Source organism: Homo sapiens, chromosome 18, assembly GCF_000001405.40.
Source record: "Homo sapiens chromosome 18, GRCh38.p14 Primary Assembly".
NCBI lineage: Eukaryota > Metazoa > Chordata > Mammalia > Primates > Hominidae > Homo > Homo sapiens.
The window spans coordinates 76,208,072-76,230,595 of NC_000018.10; the positions used below are offsets into that span (position 1 = coordinate 76,208,072).

The 22,524-nt window shown below is 43.6% G+C and overlaps 2 long non-coding RNA genes across 2 annotated transcripts in view, besides 1 other annotated feature; one reads left to right on the forward strand and one right to left on the reverse strand.

The window, feature by feature from the left end:
- Window positions 654–1,853: an enhancer, noted in NCBI's record as "MED14-independent group 3 enhancer chr18:73920680-73921879 (GRCh37/hg19 assembly coordinates)". NCBI's record gives its function as "activates an origin of replication core promoter dependent on BRD2, BRD4, P300/CBP and CDK7 cofactors, and independent of MED14, by STARR-seq in HCT116 cells {active_cell/tissue: HCT116}" and the evidence as "EXISTENCE:reporter gene assay evidence [ECO:0000049][PMID:35650434]".
- LINC01893 (long intergenic non-protein coding RNA 1893) lies at window positions 1,439–7,753 on the forward strand. The gene is made up of 4 exons (NR_146507.1): window positions 1,439–1,461; window positions 1,673–1,807; window positions 6,185–6,385; window positions 7,512–7,753. It is a non-coding gene; the product is annotated as a long intergenic non-protein coding RNA 1893 (long non-coding RNA).
- A 1,197-nt stretch (window positions 7,754–8,950) lies between these two features.
- The window catches only part of LOC105372210 (uncharacterized), a 38,239-nt gene continuing 24,665 nt past the window's right edge, over window positions 8,951–22,524 (reverse strand). Inside the window, exons 3-4 of the long non-coding RNA XR_935654.3 lie at window positions 20,832–20,932; window positions 8,951–18,517 (exon numbers count right to left, since the gene is read on the reverse strand). This is a non-coding gene — a long non-coding RNA (uncharacterized LOC105372210). The remainder of the gene's footprint in view (window positions 18,518–20,831; window positions 20,933–22,524) is intronic.

Sequence of the window (22,524 nt, forward strand, 5' to 3'; positions counted from 1 at the left end):
TATCCAGGCCACCTTCTTACCTATGAAAATCAAGTGTCACATTCACTGTTACTCCCCAGATGGAAAGCTACAATACACCTTAACAATTTTAGATAGATTTCCAAGTCAAGACCGTATCAAGATGATATAAAAAGTTTGAAGATGTCTGAAGAAATAATGAAATCACAACATTCTTCTTTCTTCCAAGGTACACAAATCGGCTAATTATTACTGTGCTGAACTCACTGCCCGGAAATGTTGTATGTCTAGAAATAGAAGCCAGTCACTTATAACATAGAAGCTACAGAAAGGATGACTGATTGGGACTGGGAAAGGGGGTACTTCAAGCTTATTTTCCAAAAGAAACTCAGGAGGAAGCATTTAGAAGAAGCCGGCTCCACCTAGCTTTCCTACTAACCTGTTACTAGCTAGCCGCTTAAGTCAGATAACCTCCCGTGTCCTCCCATGCAGGAGAGTGACAAACTCAGAAGGGAAGTAAAATTATGGCGAACTTCCAGCGCCAATATTCTATGGTTTGCTATGTTTCAAATTTAGTGCACAATGTGAAAATGTTATTTAAAACCGATGTTGGTGAAGACACAATAATGGCTGACAGAAAACAGGTGTCCCACACGCCTGTGTTGGACGAGTAGCCAGTGTGGACAAGACAGGGCCCACAGACCAGGGTGTCAGCTGCTGAGGAGCCCCTGAGTGGTCTCCCTTGAGTACCCAGAGAAAACCCCGGGTGTCTCTGGAGAGGGGCCGGCCCGACACGACATGACATAAGCGAGCATCAGCACATGCTTTCGTTTTTATGAGAAATGCCTTCCCCTAAAACACTGTGGGGACTTCCTACAGGGCTTGTATTTTTGCTACCAAGCTATATTCGTTCTGTTTCAAATGTTTCCTTCCTCCTCTCTTCTGCCCCCTCCCCCTTTTTTAATTTAACTAGAGAAAATGACATGTTAATTTCAGCTCCACCTCTGCTGGGTCATCGTCAGGTCAGCAGATTAGAGACAAACGGGAGAAAGGAGGCAGCGGCTCCAACAGCAGGGCAGCCTGGCCCGCATCCATCATGCTGTGAGCGCACAGCAATGACAGGCATCTGTCAGAATGCAGGGGGGCGCCTCATTAACAGCCGCTCACCTGCCCTGAGCTACACCTCGCTTATAATAATATCGATCATTCACTCTAAGGTGTTGCTTTTTTCCATTCGGTGGAGGAAATAGCAAGCATTCTCTTTCCCCCGCTCCCCGCTGGAGTTCACAGGCTAAGTCTCTTGGAGAAGGGAAGAAGGGGTGGCTGGGATGGGGAGAGGACAAGAAGAAGGCAGTCCTGGAAAGGGAAGGATGACATCACAAAAGAAAAGAAGGCGTCTCAGTCTACTGTCAGAGATCAACCGATGGATCGGATCACCTGGATGTTGAGCCATCCACATGCAAACCAAGGAAGGAGAGTGTGAGCTCCTGGCTGGAGAATTCGGTCAGGAACAAAGACACCTCCCCATTGTCCTTCACGAGGGATTTCCCTGGACAGAAAGATTCTAAGATCAACCCTTAGCTTTTCACGTTGTTTCTTGTAAACATGAATAATTTGAAAACAACAAAATTTTGATTTTGATGAGCTTGTGAATCTACCACTACTTGTTTGTACTAAACACAAGCACTTTTTCTTTCATCATGTCTGTCTCTAGCTCACAAGGGTGATGTGATCATCTTACGTGTAAAAGAAAACCGAATTTCACTTCTGGTGGTGACTATTGTCTGATTCATCATTACAGTAACCACCCAAGGAAACCCTGCCCACAAAAAGCATTCTTCTGGAGAAGGTTGGTTATTCATACAAAACTAAAGTTAATTATGTTCCCCCAAAGAAGCACTGTCAGGAGAGGTGTGTCTGTGTGTGTGTGTGTGTGCACGCGGGCGTGTGCACAAGCACACGCCTGGGCAGTCTCTGGTTCTGGGAATGTGTGCATTTCTCTTTTTTTTAATTAAATTTTTTGAATAGGTTTAGGGGGAATAGGTGGTGTTCGGTTACATGAGTAAGTTCTTCAGTGGTGATTTCTGAGATTTTGGTGCACCCGTCACCCAAGCAGTGTACACTGCACCCAGTGTGTAGTCTTTTATCCCTCACACCACTCTCACCCTTTCCCCCAAGTCCCCAAAGTCCCTTGCATCATCCTTATGCCTTTGCATCCTCATAGCTTAGCTCCCCCTTATCAGTGAGAACATACAATGTTTGGTTTTCCTTTCATGAGTTACTTCACTTAGCATAATGGTCTCCAATTCCATCCAGGTTTCTGCGAATACCATTATTTTCTTCCTTTTTATGGCTGAGTAGTATTCCATGGTATATAGATATACATATATATACCTGTATACATGTATTATATATGTATTATATGCATGTATTATATATATGTGTGTTATATATATACATGTATTATATATACATATTATATATGTGTTTATATATACACATATATGTATTTTATATATATAGATATAGATATAGATATAGATATATATCACATTTTCTTTATCCACTCATTGATTGATGGGCATTTGGGCTGTTCCATATTTTTGCAATTGTGAATTGTGCTACTATAAACATGTGTGTGCAAGTGTCTTTTTCATATAATGACTTCTTTTCCTCTGGGTAGACACCCAGGAGTGGCATGTCTCTGATGGGCAATGAATAAACCCTTGACAAAGCTTTAATGATAGGCTCAGAGCTTAAACCTGGGCCACCATCCAGAGTTGACCATAAAAGACGAAAAATTCTTATTCTTCTACTGTAGGGGAATTAAAAACATGGACGTGCATGCACATGCACACGCACACGCACACAATCAGCCCTTTTTAACTCTTGAAAAAGGAAGCTAACAACATACCTTTTTTCAAGTTGAAAAAGCAACTAAAGACCACTGTAGTTCAAGAGGGTATAGATGATAACACTGGGGCTGAAAGCAGCGAGGTGACCTTTCTGCATTCGTACAAACCAGAGGACGACAGAGCTGAAGTTTTAGCAGGTCCATGGCTCCTCGGTGTCCCACTTATAAATGAAGGAAAGATACACGTCTGTGGCAGTAAAGACTAATAACAAAACAAGTCGGTGGCAAACACATATGAGAAGGGGATGAGTTCAAGTTTCTCTCCTGGTGATGTGGCAAGGCCAGGACCAAACACAGCCGTGCTAGAGACAAGCTTCCCACTTCCGGAGCCTGCAGAAAAAATTCCCAGCATCTCCTCACACCTTACCTTCCTGTGGAGCTGGAGGGGTGACTCAAGTGTCCTGGGGGATCAGGTCACATAAAGAAGGGTGCTCCTCTGCTGAAGGGGTTCAGCCCCCGAGGGGAGACTCCTCCACCGAGGGCAGGAGTTCTTCCGTGGGAGGCCACTGCCCACAGAAACTGCAGAGCAGGGTTTCTCTACTGAAAAAAGAGCCATTCAGAAGTGCAATCCCTTATCTGCAATTACAAAACCCCAAAAGATTCGAAAACTGAAAATCTTTTCCTAGCCCTTTTTGCAGCAAAATCTGACCTAACTTTAACTGACGTGAGATTCTTTACTTGTAGTTTTTATTTATCCTAATTAGAGTGACCATTCCTACATTTGACTGCAACTATATGCGTGTGTGCGACCAGAACGCTGCCTCTGACTCAACTGGAAGCATGATTTAGGATGCAGTACATGCACCACATCATTTTTCTAAAATCAAAAAGATTCTGAATTCCAACACCCGTATGGCCTTGATGGTTTTAGCTCAGGCATTGGAAACTCACTCTCTCCGTCACCTCGGATCTGAAGGGATTCTGCACATTTCTGTCTAGACATCTGCTGACATCCCATCATTCCTACAGAAGACAAAACAACTACAAAAAAATACATGGTTTGCATCATCGTGTCTATTTTGTGGTTTCTGGTACCCCCATGTTGGAATTGCCCATCAATTACTGTTGTTCCTTCTTTTCCAGATAACAAATGAAGGTCTTGGTTAATAACAGTTCTGCCAGGAACACTGTGTTAATATAAACTCAGATGGAACAAAATCTTCCTCTGAAAATGAGCTAGCTCCTAATGATGCCACCATCGGTTACTTCTGTGGAAATTGCTAAGCTTATTTTGTGGATAAGCTTGTGGGATCCAATGGGAATAGTATCCCCAGAGGAAAGGCAAGAAATTGCATGGATATTAGCTTGGCCAAATCTTCATGCGTCCTTCTCTGATTTGCAAAAAGTCACTATCACAGTTGCTCTAAGGGGAAAAAATAAAATATAGGCCTTCCCCAATTCTACTTCCTGAGAATTTAATCTATATCACACAGGATTAAAATATTGATTTTCCAGGAGGCTACTGGAAGATAAGAGGTGAATTTTGATGCAATAGTCTTACGTGTAAAAGAAAGCCAAATTCCACTTCTGGCGACTATGGTCTTATTTACCATCTCTGTATTTTTCCCTGCCACTTGCCTCATCCCTTTATGCTTCACAGAAATTATTTTCAAAACTTCCTATTTTAAATCAACCACCTGGATGTCTGAAAAAGATTCTTTCCAATCGCAGGGGGGAATGATCCTTTCTAAAACACAATCCAGATTCATTATGCAGCTCTTTATGTCTTCTTTATGTACAAAAAAAATCGAAAATGCACACACTACACACGTTTTATTTTTTTAATAAGTGTCTCTCTCTCTCTCTCCCTACATCTTGTCACTCTTCCTTCCTCTCTCCTCTCTCTCCCCCCAGCTCCCTCTCTCCGGCTCCTTCCCTCTCTCTCTCCCCAACTATTTCCCCATCTCCCTCCTTCCTTTCTATTCCTCTCTCTCCCCTTCTCCCTCTTTCTCTCCCTCTCTCCTCTCTCTTTCACTCTCCCTCTCCCTCTCCCTCTCTCTTCCTCTGTCTCTCTTCCTTTTCTCCCTCTCTTCTCTGTCCCTCCCTCCCTCTCTCCCTCTCTCCCTCTCTCCCTCTCCTTAATTGCCAGGCCTTTACAAACCCATGCCTGCGAAAGAAACACCCGTCTATTGCCTGTCAAACAATGCCTGGCTGGGAAAGCTATTGGGTTTATAGAAGAGACAAACATTTCAGGCATGCCATTCTGGGGTAATGAAGCATGGCAACAAAATATACCTGTGCAACATTTGATAAAGATGAGCTGACACGCCAGTCCAAATAGGCTCTTTTGTGTGTCTGCACGTGTCTACCATCATTGCTTTCATCTTAAAACAGGAAGGTAGCAATAACCGCAGCAGCTGGCAGGGACCATAAGGGGGAGAGCAGCTCACACAATTAAACGTCGTTTACCTCTGGCCTTTATTTCACTCCCACTACCTTTAATTTATTATATGTTTTCTCCCTTTCTATGCACAAAAAAAAAAAAAGTGGCTCAATTTTTCTTTCTTTCTCTTGCTATCTCATTCCTTTTACAGGGCATTGGAGAAGACAATAGGCAAAATCCCTGGGTGTTTAGCATTGGATTTTAAGTTAAAATGCTTCTTAGAGGGGATTTTATGGCTTTTATTGTTGTTTGATTAATGCAAACCAAAATTAAATCCTATAGTTACACATGGTACATCAGCCAGAGAGAAGGCCAACTGTACTTGCTGCTTGAGTATACAGAAAACATCTTTGGTTGCTTAATCTTCAGACAAACAAAGGGTTGGGGGAGAGAAGGAGAAAGAAAGGGAGAGGGAGGGACGGAGAAACAGAGATGGAAAGATTGGAGGTTGATCTGCAGACCAGCCAGAAAGTGAGACAGGAAGATGCAGAAAATTCAGTGGCCCACATATGAGCTGGAGAATCATTTCTGGTCACTCATCTTATCTGAAGCCAAAACACTGTTCATTCTGGGTTGGATTCTTTTGTTTCTCCGCTCCTCCTTGGGGACTGTCATGGACACCACCCGTGGTATCCCACACACAGGTGCCTAGCATTGAGTGACCACCGGCCTTGGCAGGCAGGACTGAGAGACCACAGAAGGGGTCTTTCCTGCCTCCCTGGCTACTTTCTATAAAGCTGACTTCACAAAGGCCTATACAGGATATTGCCTTTCTCCTATTTTACAGAGAAGCACATCCTATTTATAAAAGCAATGCAGTGAAACTGAAAGGGCATAATAGCCACTCTGTATTATAAAGCTCTTCTGTTGAAAGAGCTGGACAAAGTGCCTTGGGTTATTTGATTTTTTTCTCCTTCTTCTAATGGCAGTAACAGTTTTTGGTGACACACATGATGGCAACAATGAACGCTTTGTGGCACGATGACCTCTATGAAAAAGAGAGATATACAGGTTTTGCTTTTGTTCACTCAACTAATTACCAACCTTTCATTATACCTCTACTCGGACATCTAAACTTCAGTTAAGCTCTATGTTTAAGTGGGATGGATCTTCAATTTGCCTACCTAAGGGTAAGATGTCTCTAAACGGCATGCAAAATAATTTGGGGTAAGGAACATTTTTTATTCCCCTCAGACCTTGTACAATGATAGTCTGTACTCAAGACAAAACCTTGGCTAGAGAAATTAAAGAGCAGGTGCTTGGAGTCTGGGCACAGTGGCTCACGCCTGTAATCCCAGCACTTTGGGAGGCTGAGAGGGCAGATCACGAGGGCAGGAGATCAAGACCATCCTGGCCAACATGGTGAAACCCCATCTCTACTAAAAATACAACAATTAGCTGGGTGTGGTGACAGGCACCTGTAGTCCCAGCTACTCGGGAGGCTGAGGCAAGAGAATCACTTGAACCAGGGAGTTGGAGGTTGCAGTGAGCCGAGATTGCGCCACTGCACTCCAGCCTGGTGACAGAGAGAGACTCTGTCAAAAAAAAAAAAGAGCAGGTGCTTGGGATTTGCTATTGAAGAATCTGGGTTTGAATATTTGCCCTGCTACTTGTTAATTGGGAAAAGTGTTAATATGGTTGCACTCCTGCTTCCTGTTTTATAAAATTAGAGGAAGACTCTAGACCCATGATAGGAGATGTTGGAGAAAATCAAATGAATAATGAATGTAAAAACACTTTGTAGCCTGCAAAATGCTATACATAGGTTCATTTGTTTTTTACAGTTTTTAAAAGTAGTTTTATAAATAAAGGTAAATTCCAGAAATGATTACATAATTAAATTGTGTTAAAACTTGGAAACTTAATGATTAAAAAAAAGAAAAAAGGCAATACACCTACAAATTGCAGTGCTTTAGGCCTTCTGGAGTCTTCAGTTTTATAAAATTCCCAGTTATTTAAGGCTTCTATCTTTTCAAAGTCATTACATCCACTCCATTCTTTTAATTTGCAAAGTAATGGTGAAGATATCCCTGGAGATTTACAGGAATGGAAACCTTCTAATGGAAGTCATTTAGTGAGTTGACTATTGTTTTATTGGTAATAGGAAACACACTCCTGACAGGAGGAGATGTAGTTTGGGGGAAACTGCATAAACTTATCAAAAAATTAGCCCATTTCTTAACCACAAGAAAATAGTGGAGTTAACAGAAATTCCTAAGGTAAATTAAGAGGCTTCATTATTTCCTTTTGTTTCAGATTTGAAGTCAGGTTTACAGAGGCATCATTTTACAATTATCAACTTTGATAAATGCAGATTGTCATGGAACTACCACCAGAATCCAGATAGAGAACATGCTATCATCCCTGTTATATCCCTTTGTGGCTAATCCACCACACTGTTCCATCCACCAAAGTCCCTAGAAGCCACTGATCTGTTTTATGTCCCTCTGGTTTTGTCTTTTTCAAAGTCTGAAATAAATGGAATTGTGGAGTGTGTAGCTTTTGTCTTCTCTCACTTAGAGTAGCCCATTTGAGAGTCATCCACGTATTGCACTATCAGTCGTTTATTCATTTTTTTGAATAGTATTCCATAGTATAAATATTCTGCAGTTATTGATTTGATGGATATCTGGTTTGCTTTTAAATTTTAGCAATTATGAATAAAGCAATCTCCACATTTATGTAAACCCTGTACATTCATTGCTCAAAGTGCAACTCCTGGTGGGTATTCTGCCCCTGAAACTCAACATGGACAGGAGTTTGTATTAATAGATACTTTCATTTCTCTTAAATACCAAGGACTGGGATTGTGAGTTATATAATAAGTGCATGTTTCATTTTAGAAGAATCTGTTAAATTGTTTTCCAAAGTCGCTATGCCATTTTGCATTCCCTGCAGCCATGTATGAGAGTTCCAGTGGCTCCACATATTCACCAGCACATGGTATTGTTGTTTTGGTTCTGTTTTGTTTTGTCAGCAATTTTAATAGGTGTGCACTGGTATCTCATTGTGATCTTCATTTGTGCTTTCCTAGTGACTAGCAACCTTTTATGTGCTAATTTATCACCAATATAGCTTGTCTGGTGAAAGTGCTTTCAAATCATTTGGCTGTGTATTTTATTGAAGTGTTTCTTTTATTATTGAGTTGTGAGTGTTTTCTGTGTAGTCCATATACAAATCTTTTATCAGACATGTGTTTGGAAGATATTTTCTTACAGTGTGACTTGTCTTTTCATTCACTTAACAGGGTCTTCTGAAAACCACAAGTTTTAATTTTTATAAAATCTAATTTTTCCACTTTTATATTCTAACTTATGCTTGTGGGTATGTTTAGTGCTTAAAATTTATTAGAAAGACCCACTTACCAATTAGAGCATCCTTCTTAAACAAACAAAAGTGATCATGAGAATTCCTTAACACAACATTCTTCTCTTCTTCTAGTGAATGTGAAATTCACTAAGGGCACATTGGGATCATGCCCTGTTTTAGCTTCAGTTGGATACCTGGTGGCTTAGGGCTCAGGATTAATAAAGCTAATGACACTAATCCTCACCTAATTATTAATTCAAATGTTCAGAATTTGGTAAATTTAAGAGTAACACGACTGCATAAGATTTATATTGTTCTACCTTTTCAGTTCCTGACTGAGGTTTCTTAATGAAATTTGAAAACAAAGAAATTGATTATAAACGATCTACCAGTGATCCATAAACTTATTTAATGAACAATTCTTATGTACATATATATCTCATTGACATATATTATAAGGATTTATTTTTATTTTTATTGCTCTTTTTTTTTGAAGGGTTCAGCTTACAAGATCCTCCTCAATTAAAGTGTTGATGTCTTGTTTGAAACACAGGTGGGTAGATGCCCAATTTTCTTGTTATGACTATCTGGGTTTCCTCTTTGTACTTACCAACCCTGGCCTCGCCTTCCCTCACTGGAATTCCCTGGAACCGTGCTGGTGCTGGCTCAGAGTTCTCCGGCCTTTCTCCTGTATGTCTCCCATCTCTGCTGCTGCTGATCTTTCCTGTGTTGTTACTCTTAACATTTCAGTTCAGTTTCACTATGCTTCTCGTGACACCTTTACGTACACACTTTCCTCTGACTACTCAGAAAATATATGGCATTTTTCTTGCAATCCATTCTGCATTTTTAATGCTTGTGTAATCCTTGCACAGTTCCGGTACCTCATGCCATGATGCCTACTGCTCTGTGCCATTTGTATTCTCTTGTGGTATGGTTGGTCCCTTGAATTTCTCTAGGCAAGTCTTCTTGTGAGTCGTTCACACCAAGAACAGGCAGACCTGAGCTCACCCATCCTCCATGCAGTGGAGCATTCGTGACCCCATCCTCAAGTCTCCTTCTGGTCCCACAGGCTGGCCGGCCACACACACCTGCTGCTGCACTCCATGGCCACAGGCAGGTCTTGGCAATTCACCTGCTCTCCGCAATCAAACTGAGTGCTATGGAAAGCCCAAATCCCACCGGGCACAGTAGCTCACACCTATAATCCCAGCACTTCAGGAAGCTGAGGTGGGTGGATCACCTGAGGTTGGGAGTTAAAGACCAGCCTGATCAACATGGAGAAATTCCATCCCTACTAAAAATACAAAATTAGTTGGGCATGGTGGCACATGCCTGTAATCTCAGCTACTCGGGAGGCTGAGGCAGGAGAATCACTTGAACTTGGGAGGCAGAGGGCAGAGGTTGCAGTGAGCCAAGATCACACCATTGCACTCCAGCCTGGGCAATCAGAATGCAACTCCTTGAAAAAAAGAAAGAAAGAGAGAGAGAGAGAGGGAGGGAGGGAGGGAGGGAGAGAGAGAGGGAGGGAGGGAGGAAGGAATGAAGGAAGGAAGGAAGGAAGGCAGGAAGGAAGGAAGGAAGAAGAAAGTCCAAATCCCAAGAAACACCTGATGTATCTGCTACCTACACCCTGTCTCCCTTCATCCCCCACACTCACAGCTGTTTAGCAGAGGAATCCCAGTGACACCCCGGGTCCCAGAGAAAAGCCTGCCCTGCCTTCCAGTTCCAGTGCATGAGGCATGAAGCCGACTGTTCAGGAAGTCAAGACTTATTTGTGAAACGAAAGGCAGTGGACCCCTGTGTTGCTGCTGGTGGGGAGCCCAGTAGGTGGGATGCTAGTCCAGCCCCTTTGGCAGTGGCGGATTCTCCAGATGGACTTAGTCACCTGATGCTTGGCAAGACTCGGCCCCAGCTACCCCAGTGGGAGGGGGTTGTGGACAATGGAGACACTCAGAATGATTGACCAAAATGGTTTTGAAACCTCTAGACCAAGGACCATTAATCTGAAAATGGCTCTGACTCTATTTGATTTCAATAGAAAGAAACGGCTCCTTTTGAAATGGATAGTGACAGCCAAGCTCAGAGATAACAGACTGGCAATGACAAGACTCTACTTTTTAAAACAAACAACAGAAAACCTTCCCTAGCTGTGTTTGGACAGTTTCACTCTGTTGATTTTTAAACCATCATGAGAGTTGATCACATTCACTTCCCCACCTGCCCTCCCTCCATTGGCGCCCAGACCTGCCACCCAACTTCCTGGAAGGTCAGAGGGATCCCGACCAGGAGAGAGGATACTGGAGCATGGGGGAAAGCAGGGAGAGGGTGCACTGGGTGCAGAGAAACCAGGGGGACCCGAAGGGGACACAAGCTAGGCAGTCCCCACAGGCCCTGCGCCCTTCACCCCTTCCACATGCTAGGGAAAGAAACCATTGTGTGAACAGAGGCAATACTGTATGAAGGGAGGAAAGGCGACGAAAAAGAATTTTACATGGACCTTAGAGAGGAAAGGAGGAAAGGAATCTGGTGTGTGTATGTGTATGTGTGTGTGTGTGTGTGTTCGTGTACATGCACAGGTACACGTGTTTTAGCCCTAGACACGTGGCCTATCAGAAGGACATGAGACAAGGTCAGGAATGAACTCCCCTTTGAATCACCCTTAAGCAGGCAGACGAATTAGGACTGATTTATGAATGTATTTCCACAATTTACTTGAAAATTTGTAATGTCTGTGCAGCCTGGCAAGAAAAAAAAAAGGCGAGGCACTGTGAAGGAATGCTTCTGCTCCACTTCATTGTAAAATTATCCCATGCTACCTGCTCTAATCCCCTGAAAACAAATTAAATCCTCACTAAGCTGACTTTAAATCAATAGTTTCATTTAAGAATAGTGTGACTTAATAAAAATAAAAAACTAACTGGTCCAGCCAATTTAAGAGGGAAATAAATCATTGCCCAAAGAAAAATAGCAGATTTGACTTGTATATGGGCCCTGGCTCTGTTTAGAAGGGAGAGGTGGTGTCTAAATTAACTCTGGCTGGGGAAGAAGCTCATAGACCCATTCAGAAACTCACTTTACCATGCACATCCCAGGAATAAGGAGGCCAGCCACCCCCAAAATGGGAAACAGCATCTCAGTCTATATTTTGAAAAATGTAACCACTAAAAAATAGAAGATGGCATCCTCGGAAGCATCCTGGCAACCCTGAGACTGCAGCGCTCACATGTGAAGACCAAGAAACCCATGTCTGGTCATGGCAGAAGCCACAAGGTTCCTCTTGAAGATGCACTGGTTAAGGCAACAGTGTCCTCAACAAGCCGGGACAAAGGCAAAATTAGGTGTGCTGGATAAACATCAGTAATTATAATAGGTGCACAATCTATGTGCAATTATTCTTTGGAATAAATCTAAGTGTGGGGTAGACATATTTTTGGCAGTATACAAAGGCCTGACTACCATTTTATGAATAAAGAAAGTCATCTAGAACAAAAGAGTAAGACTCGACACAATAGGGCAAGTAGTTACAGAGAAAAGTCTGAAATCCCATAATTCTAAACTAGCACTTTATCCCATTTAGCAGAGTACTTCTTTACTAATCATATAAATTAGAAAAATGCTTAGGACCCGACGCTTGCTTACTTAATTCATTATGTATTGGGGATATATAAACATTAAAGTGAGTGCCTTCAAAACACGACACATCAATATTATCAGTGTCACTATTGCCACTAACATATTTTAAACATTTAATAATTATACAACGTCAAGTCAGTTACTTACTGACGTTCATTGCAATCGAGCACTTTTATTTATCATTTTGACAATAACAAATAATAAAACATATTCCTTCTAGTAAAAGATTTAAGCCTAAAGAAGCCAGGCAAGACCATTTAGTTCCTTACCATAGTCCCTCTCTCAGAGACTACATTAATTTTCATTTGTTGGCCAGAAAAATACCTGGCCAAATACCTAGAGAAATCAGTGTATGAAGATGGCACAGTTTGGTGGAAACACTCTGGCTTAGACTCAGGCTCTGGAGGCTCAAGTCATGCCCCCACATTTAGAATCCTGTATTGTTTACCTAGTTATTTGACATTCTGGCCTTAGTTTTGTCATCTGTAAGATGGAGGCAATAATACCTGCACAGTTTATGGAGTTATTAGGTGGCCCCAAGCAGGCGATGGAGGGTACTTTGCAAGGTGATACACAAAAGTGAGAAATGACCGGGCCTCCCGTCTGTCCAAGGACAAGCATGGTAATTAATTCTAACTTAGAAAACACTGGCTTCCTATACATTCTCCCAATGTAACCATTCCATGGATGATGGCTCCAGGTAGGACCCTTGCAAAATGTGGTAACTAAAGAGTTTCTTATTGTAGAGCTAAGTAAGGGACAGGCACAGCTATGCCCAGTTTATGTCAAGCCCATGGTTCAGAACGTTGGGTGGCGGGCACAGCTATGCCCACTTCAATGTTGGGTGGTGGTAGCAAGGCATCTGGAAGAAATTATTCCAAACTTGGCTGAACCTGAGCAGTTGGTGAGATGAATTAATGGCTATTTCATGGTGTCAGTCTTGGTCCTGCTGCAAGCAAGTGACCTGACAACTACAAACTAACAACGTATTTGTTTCTATTTGTAGTAAATTAGGAGTGTTTTCCTTTTCTGGAAGGTCAACCCGTTGTTTTCAATACCCACTCAAGTGAAAACTTTCACTACTATGAAGCAATTCCACAGTGGCCGCTCCTTGGAAAGCAGTTTAAAATCATTTTGTGAATGACTTCTCTCACTTTCTCTGGGAGGGAGGCGGGCATTTTATAAATGAAAACGCTAACCATGAGCCAGAGGCCTGGCCAGACTACTGGTAAACGTGATCGCACAACCAAAGAACAGCTCACCACCCCTTACTGCGATTCCCAAACTTGCAGCTTCCGGCAGGGTCTGCTGTGTGCACGGAGCACCCGTCAGCCTGGAGCAGACCTGAGACGCTGGCACAAGAACTGTCATCTGGAGAAGCGTCACCTCCTGTCCGGCTGAGGTTCCACGGGGCTTCTGCCAGAGACCTGAATAAATGTTATAGAACAGCCCAATCTCACTGTCCTCCTTTGTCTTCCAGAAGCCCTTGCCCTGTCCTGAGCTTACTGACATGGCCAAAAGACTGAAAATGCTAACAAGACAGGGAGCCCCCCATCTGCAAATCCTGTTCTTACCCATCAAGCTAAGCCAGCACCTGTACTTGTTCCAGGTTGAGCCCAACAGCAGCCTCATATCCTAAGGCACAGCTCGCTGAGTTCTGAGCCCTCCCAAGGGAAGGTCTTAACCCTAGCTCATCCATTTCCAAAGCTGAGGCCATGAGCCAAGTGTCCCAGGATGCTCTCCACTCTGCCCACAGAGCGAGGTCGCTGGTCTCTGAAGCAAGTCCCAGGTTTCCCACACTTCCCCCATGAGAAGAATTCTGGGGTGCTTGTTAAACATCCAGCTCCCCAGGTATGTACCCTGAAGATTCTGTTTGAGTTGGTCTTGAGTAGGACACAGGAACCGGTGTGTTTAATAGGCACCCAGGGGATAACAATCAAATGTGACTCAAAGCCAGCGCGGTAACCTTGGCTCAGAAACAAGCAAATCTGGCCAGGCGCAGTAGCTCACACCTGTAATCCCAGCACTTTGGGGGACTGAGGTGGGCGGATTACTTGAGGTCAGGAGTTCGAGACTAGCCTGGCCAACATGCTGAAACCCCTTCTCTACTAAAAATACAAAAATTAGCTGGGCGTGGTGGCAGGTGCCTGTAATCCCAGCTACTCGGGAGGCTGAGGCACAAGAATTGCTTGAACCCAAGGTGGAGGTTGCAGTGAGCCGAGATTGTGCCACTGCACTTTAGCCTGGGTGATAGAGAGAGAATCAGTCTCAAAAAAATAAAGAAACAAGCAAGTCAGTCCAGGCTCTTAGACAATTCACCATGAGTTTTGCCAAATTCAGTCCATATGCAGAATGGTGGTACACATGTGGATTTGGTGTTTCAGGGCCCTTGTGCAAGCCATCAAACAGGGCAAACCTGCCACCCTTGCAAAATGTGGTAACTAAAGAGCTTCTTATCAATAAGGGGCATCTATACAGGTCAAGATTTCACATGTGACTATCCCATTCCTAAGGTGACTGTCCAGTGGAGAGCCTCCTGGTTCTTTCATGGCAGGAGTGTCCCAGGAGACCATGCATCCAGAAAACATGACAGAATCAGGTGGGAAAATCAAGCTAGTCTCTGAAGCGGTTTAAACTGAGAAGTTTCCAACCAGGTTTATCGGATGCTGACACGCTTCCCCATGCCTGGCTTTGCTGGACGGTCTGGGGTGTGGTTCTCTCTGCCAGCGTGGCTGCTGCACATCTTTGCTATTAATTTCCAGAGTGAAGAGATAAGGTTGGTGGGGCCACCATGACTTTGTTTCTTTTCTTTTTCTCTAATAAGAAAATTGCTTTCCAACCAGTAGAGAAATTCAGAGACAACTGGTGAGGAGGCTCGGTTGGGGAGAAGCACATTCCTACCTTTCATGTGCTCCTTCCCCAGCACCGGCGAGGCCGGTGACCTGCTATTTAGTGCAGCAGCCCGAAGGCAGCAGAGAGCAATGCTCGCAGCTTTCACCTTCTCTAATGTGGTCGGCCTACAATTTGTAAATGAGTCTGTTTCACATTCAGTGCTACACGTACTCTTTGTGAAATAATTTTAAAAGCCTCAGGATACATTGCATAAAAAACCAAACAATTAAAACATTTCATGAAACACAAACAACAACAGCAGAAACCCATAAAAACAGCATCTGGGCTTTCATATCTCCTTCAGGGCCTATAAAGTGGCCGGGGTTGTTGGATCACGAGCCGTGGAACCCAGCCTGCTTCTTTCTCCAAGTACAGCTAGGCCAGGTGCACCCACCCTCCCTGACAGGCACATGCCAGCAGGCCAAAAGTCCTGACACCTTGCACCCTGCTCAGCGTCTGGGAGCCTTCCACCGGCAGGTGGTTTGTGGGCGCCTTGTGTTCTCTTCACATTGACCAGAGGGCCTGCCTCCCTGAGGCCATGTCCCTGTGGCCTCCAGGCTCCTTCCCTTTCCCATCGCGTCCTCTCTCACTGAGTCACAGGGCCTCAGAGCTCACTTGTTTCAACCATGCCTTAACATTGAAACTGAGACCAATTGAAACCCCCAATGCAACAGTGCTGACCGATGGTGGGACATTGAAGAGGCATTTGCAGCAGAGGGCTGGCTCTGCCCTCATAGCGGGATTAATGCTCTTTCTCCAGAGTGAACTCTCACTCTTGCAGGACTGGATGAGCTATCTGGAGAGCAGGAGGTCACAGAGCAAGGCCACCCCTTGCGTTTTGTCTCTTTGCATACACCTGCTCACCTCTCTCACATGTGCTCTTGCCAAGTAATGTCATCCACCATGTTGCAATGCACACGAAGCCCTTGCCAGATGCAGCCACCTGATCTTGAACTTCACAGCCTCCAGAACTGTGAGCTAAGCCTTTTTCTTCATAAATTACCTAGTCTCAGATCTTCTGTTATAGCTACAGAAAACAGACCAAGACATGACTTATCCAAGAGCTTTCAGGGAATTAATGGCCAAGCAAAGGTTTGAACAAGCAGCCCTGACTCTTGGACAGAAGTATTCCTGACACACCATGCTGGAGGCTCAGGAGTGAAACCACCTGGCACAGGTGCTTAAAGAAAATGCAGGTAAAGAAGCAGCTGTCATTCCTAGTAGGCATAACAGGGAATCGTTCGGTGGTTGGGCCGAGGTGTGTCCCATATGTGTCCAGACACGGTCACCCAGTGTCTGTGATTGGTGGCTAGACCATGGCATGTTTTCTGTGTCCAGACACAGTCACCCGGTGTCTGTCTGTCTTGCTGCATTGGGTCATGAGTGGCTTGTCTGGTGTTGCTCTTCAGCGATGTGTTGTGTTAGGGAGAATGCCAGGCCCAGCTGTGTGGGCTGGGCTGGCACCAGGGAGGGGCTGCTATTCTCTTTCTCAGAAATGCTCCCATTTCACAGCTTTGTTCCAGTTGGCTTCTGGCACGTATCGGTCATGTGGACCTGCCCAGCAGTGTGCATACCTGCGAGTATCAGTGTCCCATCTCCACAGCATCAATCCCTTTTTGGTTCCTGTGAAAGGTCTCAGCTTCACAGTGGAGGGGCTGGGACAGGACCATTAGTGACAGCCTCAGTGCTCCTGATGTTCCTACTTGCTGAATGCCAGCATAGCCATGGTCAGAGGCAGTGTTCTGTAAAAGTCCAGGCTTCAGAATCAGGCAGACCTGGGATTTTGCTCAGGCTCCATCTCTGACAAGTTGTGACAATGTTGAGCAGGAGACGAAATCTCTCCAGGCCTCAGTTTCCCATCTGTCAGTTTACCCTCTCTGTAAAGAAAGGGTAAAAACACTTACCTTCCATATTTATTGTGAGGATTTAATAAGATGGTATGGGTTTACCATATGTGAAGTATTAATAAATGTTTAATCATCACTTTACTGCCTTTTAGTAGTTACAATTTACTTAACACCTACCATGTGATTTGACATTTGAAGTTCTCTCATCTTCACAAAAATACATAATTGTCCCTGTTTTACAGACAACAAACTGGAATGTAAAGAGGTTTACTAAGATACCCTGAGGTTAAAAAGTGAGTGAAGTCTGAGGCAGGGTTAAATCTCTATCTGTCTGTATCCACAACCCATAATCTTCCCAATTGACAAGGGATCCCTAACCAGGGGTGTGGGCCACATGCACAGATGGCCTCAGCAATCCTGATGCAATATTGTGGGGTATGAGCTTTTTTTGGAGAAACAGTTTCATCACATCTCAAAAAAAGGTCTTGCACCAAAGAAGGTTAATAACCCAGCATTATACCAACTTTTCCTGACTTCCCCACTGCAGGGACTTTCAACATGTCTTGGCATCAAAATATTTCTTTAAATAACATCTTATCCAAAACTTTATCATTTACAAAAGGCAGGGAGGTTAAAAACTGCTTTGGATTAAGGGCACATAGGGGGTAGGAGAGAAGGGATCAATGGCTCAGGTCCTCACCAGCTCAGTCTCCTCCTCCTCCCAGTGCTGCCCCTGCCAGGCGCCAAGACTCCAGGGATCCCAGGTGGAAAGCCACCATGCCAATAGCCACAGTTACCACAATAGTTTTCCATATTATCTGCATTGCAGCAGCCACTAACAATTCCATCAAGAGACACTCAGAGCAGAAACCATAAATGTCTCCAAGATGCTGTGTGGACCGAGGCAACACTCAGCTCCAGCGTGACAGGTTCCACTTTAAGGACCAGGCCTCAGATGGTTGCGTGAGGAGGTTTCCTGAGCAGACAGTGCAGGGAATGGAGCACAAAGTGCTTGGTGGACCTCCCAGAGTGCTCGCTGTCCTGCCTTCCAGCATGTGAGGAATTGAACTCTGAGTTGAAGACGCTTAAGCCTAGCAGTCAGAGGAACGCAGGACAAACATCAGCCAAGAACACCCACTGGAGGCACCTGGACAACCTTTTTCTGAATGATTTCAGAGACGCCAGGAGGAACTTCCCAAGAACGACACCCCCTATCCAGCCTGCTAGGAAGTCTGAAATGAACCCTGAGGCTTCATTATTCTGTATCCTAAAGAATGTTCTACCTTCAAACACCCTGGCTGGAGCTGCACACACAGAAGGAGAAAGGTCCCCGGAGACCACAGGAGTCACCACTCCAGGGAGACCATGGGTTAGAGCCTCAACCAATGTCTAAGCAGTGCCTTAGATTGCAACAGTGCTTCACAGCCTCACTTCATCTGTTCTTCCCAACTACTCATGAGATTGAATGCAGGAGGTAGATGATCCTCTTCTCACAAATCAGCCACTTCATGAGATGTTTACAGAGGGATGCAGCAGAAATACTGATGCTGAGCCTGTCCCCTCTCCAAATCACTACACCTACACCAAGAGGGTACAAGAAAAGAAGTGGGAAAAGGCATTAAAAAATAATTTTAGCTGTTTCTTAAAAGTCTCTGGCCTTGACATTGGCTAGGCATCATCAGAACACTAGACCACATTGCACTTAATAAGCATTGACTTTATAGGAATCTGTCTTCCAAATGTATTGCTTCCCGCTATGCTGTCTTCTGTTGTAAAAACACTGCAGCATTTTTACAGGTTCCTAGAAAACCCAGAAAGAGTTTCTAGAATCCTAGTCTCACATAAGGAGCTGCATTCCAACGTGAGGTATCTTTAGCCTGCATTGGACTGGTGGTGACCAGTGTTTCCTGATCTACATTATGGAAACACCATCACAAGGGATAGCTCCAGAAAATGGCTAATTTCAGGGCCAGGTCACGGAGGAAAATGTGGCACAATTGCCATCAACCCAATCAGCAAGTGGATGATCACTAGGATAATGCCCTTCTCCGTGAGCCCTTAGAACAATGTCAGAGGAACGCCGCACAAACATGGCCAAGAACACCCTCTGGAGGCACCTGGACAACCTTTTTCTGAATGATTTCAGAGATGCCAGGAGGAACTTCCCAAGAACGACACCCCCTACCCAACCTTCTAGGAAGTCTGAAATGAACCCTAAGGTTTCATTATTCTGTATCCTAAAGAATGTTCTACCTTCAAATACCCTGGGTGGAGCTGCACACACAGAAGGAGAAAGGTCCCCGGAGACCACAGGAGTCACCACTCCAGGGAGACCATGGGTCTTAGCCTCTATTATGTGACCTCTATGTGCCTCCCCTGCTACCATAAGCTCCTTACAAGTAAAAGGTGAGTTTTAGAGTGAGGTCATTGTGCCATAAAAAAAGTGCCATATGGACAAAGGATTGTTATATTGTAACACATGTGCTTCCTCCAATGAAATTTTTTAGGATGGGGACCTTATTGTACTGATTATCATTTTTGTCTTTTAATTTTTGACATAACATTAATTTCTTGGACACCCAAGAAAGTGTTGATGTTTTTGACACATGAGAAGCCAAGCTTCCCGTTGGCTTATGCGCCTTCTGCCTTATGAAATTGCTGTTCCTGTTATTTACGGCCATGCTCATCTTGTTCCAGGTACTGGACCATGCACATGTGTGGTCTCAAAGCCTCCACACCGCAATCCAATGCCCAGTTCAGCGAAGCTGTCAAAGACCTTTAGGAAAAAAGATTTCAAGACAAGCAAAAAAAAAAAAAAATACATAAGGCAAAAAGAAGATTTGCCCATGAGGCAGTAAAGACCTAGCATGTAGCATAGCGCTTGGCAGCTCCAGCTCCAGCGAGGCAGCATGGCTGTGAAGCCCCTCTCAGAATGCCTGCACAGGACGCCGTGCTCCACGCGGGATGCTGGGAGGAGCAGTGGGCCAGGCTGTGGAGGGTCACAGACTCGGAATGGGTGGCATGCAGCTTCTGGAACTCGGTGAGCTTCCAAATGACATTTCATGCCAAAATTATGCAAAGATTAGTTTTTATGAGTGGCAAAATCACAAAAACACAAAACAACAAATGAAGACAGCAGCTAATGTGTCATCACTATGCGTATTTTGTCTACTTCCAAAAACACTTCTCTAGAGCCTACAATTGAAGAATATGTATACACATGAAAATGTTTGAAAAAAAATTAAGAAAGAAGTCAGGTAACTGAAAAATGGAAAGTGAGTCAATAGTTGTAAAAGCAGCTAGGGATTTATACACTTAACCATAACTGAGTTTTGAACTTCCTGGCAGTCAGGTCAATAAGTGAAACCTATGGCTTTCTAAGGACATTACAGTTCTCAAGAAAAACAAACATTTTTCCCAAGGTAAAGTTCTGTGCTTAATTCATTAAGCAGATATGTAACATAAAAGACACTGAATAACATCATTAATAGTCTTTAACAAAATTCAGAATATAGAAAAATGTGGATTATTTAGCTGTCTCCTTTAAGATAAAATCAAAACCTTAATTTCACTTGTTCTTGTAACTTCCAAAATTAGTACGTCTTATTATAAAGGATTCTTATACTGCACAAATGAGTAAAAATGTAATTGTTTTCATTTCTAAGACAGAATTTTTAGTTTTTGTTCATTAAAGATATTTGTATTGTGGCTTTGCTTCTCGATGAGCCTAGAACGTGGGAGAAGGGACGTTTTCAAATCCTCTACCCTTTCTCTCTCAAGTGTCAGCTACCTGCTTAGATTTCTGCTGAATTCTTAGTAGGAGTCAATTCGAGATGTGGCTCTAGACAGCTCTGTCCACAGAGCTGTCTGTGCAAGTAAAAATGCTGCCCACCTGCTCTGCCCAATGCCACCACCGCTGACCCCGCGTGGCTCCTGAGGGCCTCAACTGTGTCCAGTGCAACTGAGGGACTACAGACCACTGAAGTGTTCACTCTAAAAACAGTAAGGCAGCAAATATTATGTTGTGTATATTTCATCAAAATAAAAAATAAACAGTGCATATAGCAAGCTGTAGAAAGTTCACAGAGATTCTGAAAGGAACACAAATTTGTGTGAAGATTTTGCCAAATCTGGGTCAATTTTGCTGGGCTTACTCATAAGATTTCCAAAAACGTCTCTTGGTTCCTTTAGACTCAATTTCTAGAGTGATACAAACACAGGATCTGGTTTTCTGTCTGTGAAAAGTGCAGGATTTGGTTTTTTCTCTGTGAAAATGACAGTTTCTTTAAAAAAAAGGTTGCAAAACTTGGCTCTTTGCCTGATAGGGTGATCTATCCAAAAGCAAAGCCTTCACCTCTGACCAGAGCTACCTTCTGCACTTTGGTTCTTTGTCCCACCCTGATCATTCTCCTTAAAATAAAAGAAACAGCAAATATAAAACACATATAATACAGGCACATATACATATGTAATAATATTATATATACTTAACATATTATACTAAATATTATAAATATTTTTCTACATTTACATAATTAAACCTATTTTTTTAATAATCCTGATCGAGGCTTCAGCTCACCTTCCACACAAGAACACACGCAAATTAATACAGACGCAGAATTCAACAGACACACAACTAAGCCTACGAGATTTCGGATCACCAAATATTTCAATAGATTCATAATTAAAGTTGGTAGTAGGTGTGGGGCCTTCTCAGGTATGGCTTTGAGACAAGTGTTCTAGGTATAGGTGAGAACAAATTTGCAGTAGGTATATTTTCTAAAATGGTTTCTTTTAGGATCAAGCCAGCCCACTGTCTCAATCTCCTACTGACAGGAGGTGCAAGAGCTTTGCCTCCAAGTTGCCACAGCACCTTCACAAATCTTCCATTCACACAGGCATCAGATGCCTACACATCATGTTTTGCAATGACAGGATACTACTTTTTGAAATATTGCCCTATTTACTTTTTCTGGTAATTCCTTTCCTTCCTTTATTCTTACCCCATTCAAGCACCTCTGCTGTCCTGCGTTTATTGACTCAGGGGAATAATTCAGTAGAGAAGGAAGGAAGGAATCTTGAATCTCCTGGCTTCTGGGTCTCAAAAATGTAGTCCCTTGGAGGAACAAATAAATGCTCAAGCCAAGATATATGAAAGTTTTGAGGAGAGACGTGCTTGTCTCCCCAGTTGCCCACCCCGAACTCACCCTTGGACTAGATTAAAATGTACTGGCTTGCAGGGAAAGAGAAGAAAGGTGGATAAGAAAGAGAAGTCCAGTTGCAGGTACGATCCTGGGAGGCTGCAAAACCTGACATAAGTTCATAAGATCCGGAGTTCCCACGCCCAAGAGAGAACACCTGTAGAGTGAGTCTGGGTCAACTGGCCCATGAGGAGCCCACAAGATTTTTGTAATCTAACACAGCAAAAGCACGAAAGGCAGATTCCCAGGCACCATCAAGTGCAGGCCAGCAGCAGCAGCTACCAGGCACATGCCAAGGAAGGGGAGAGCGACCTGAAGGCCAGGGTGCCAAGGACCAACTCACTGCTCTGGAAGGGTAGGGGCCCAGACAGAGGTCAGCAAAAA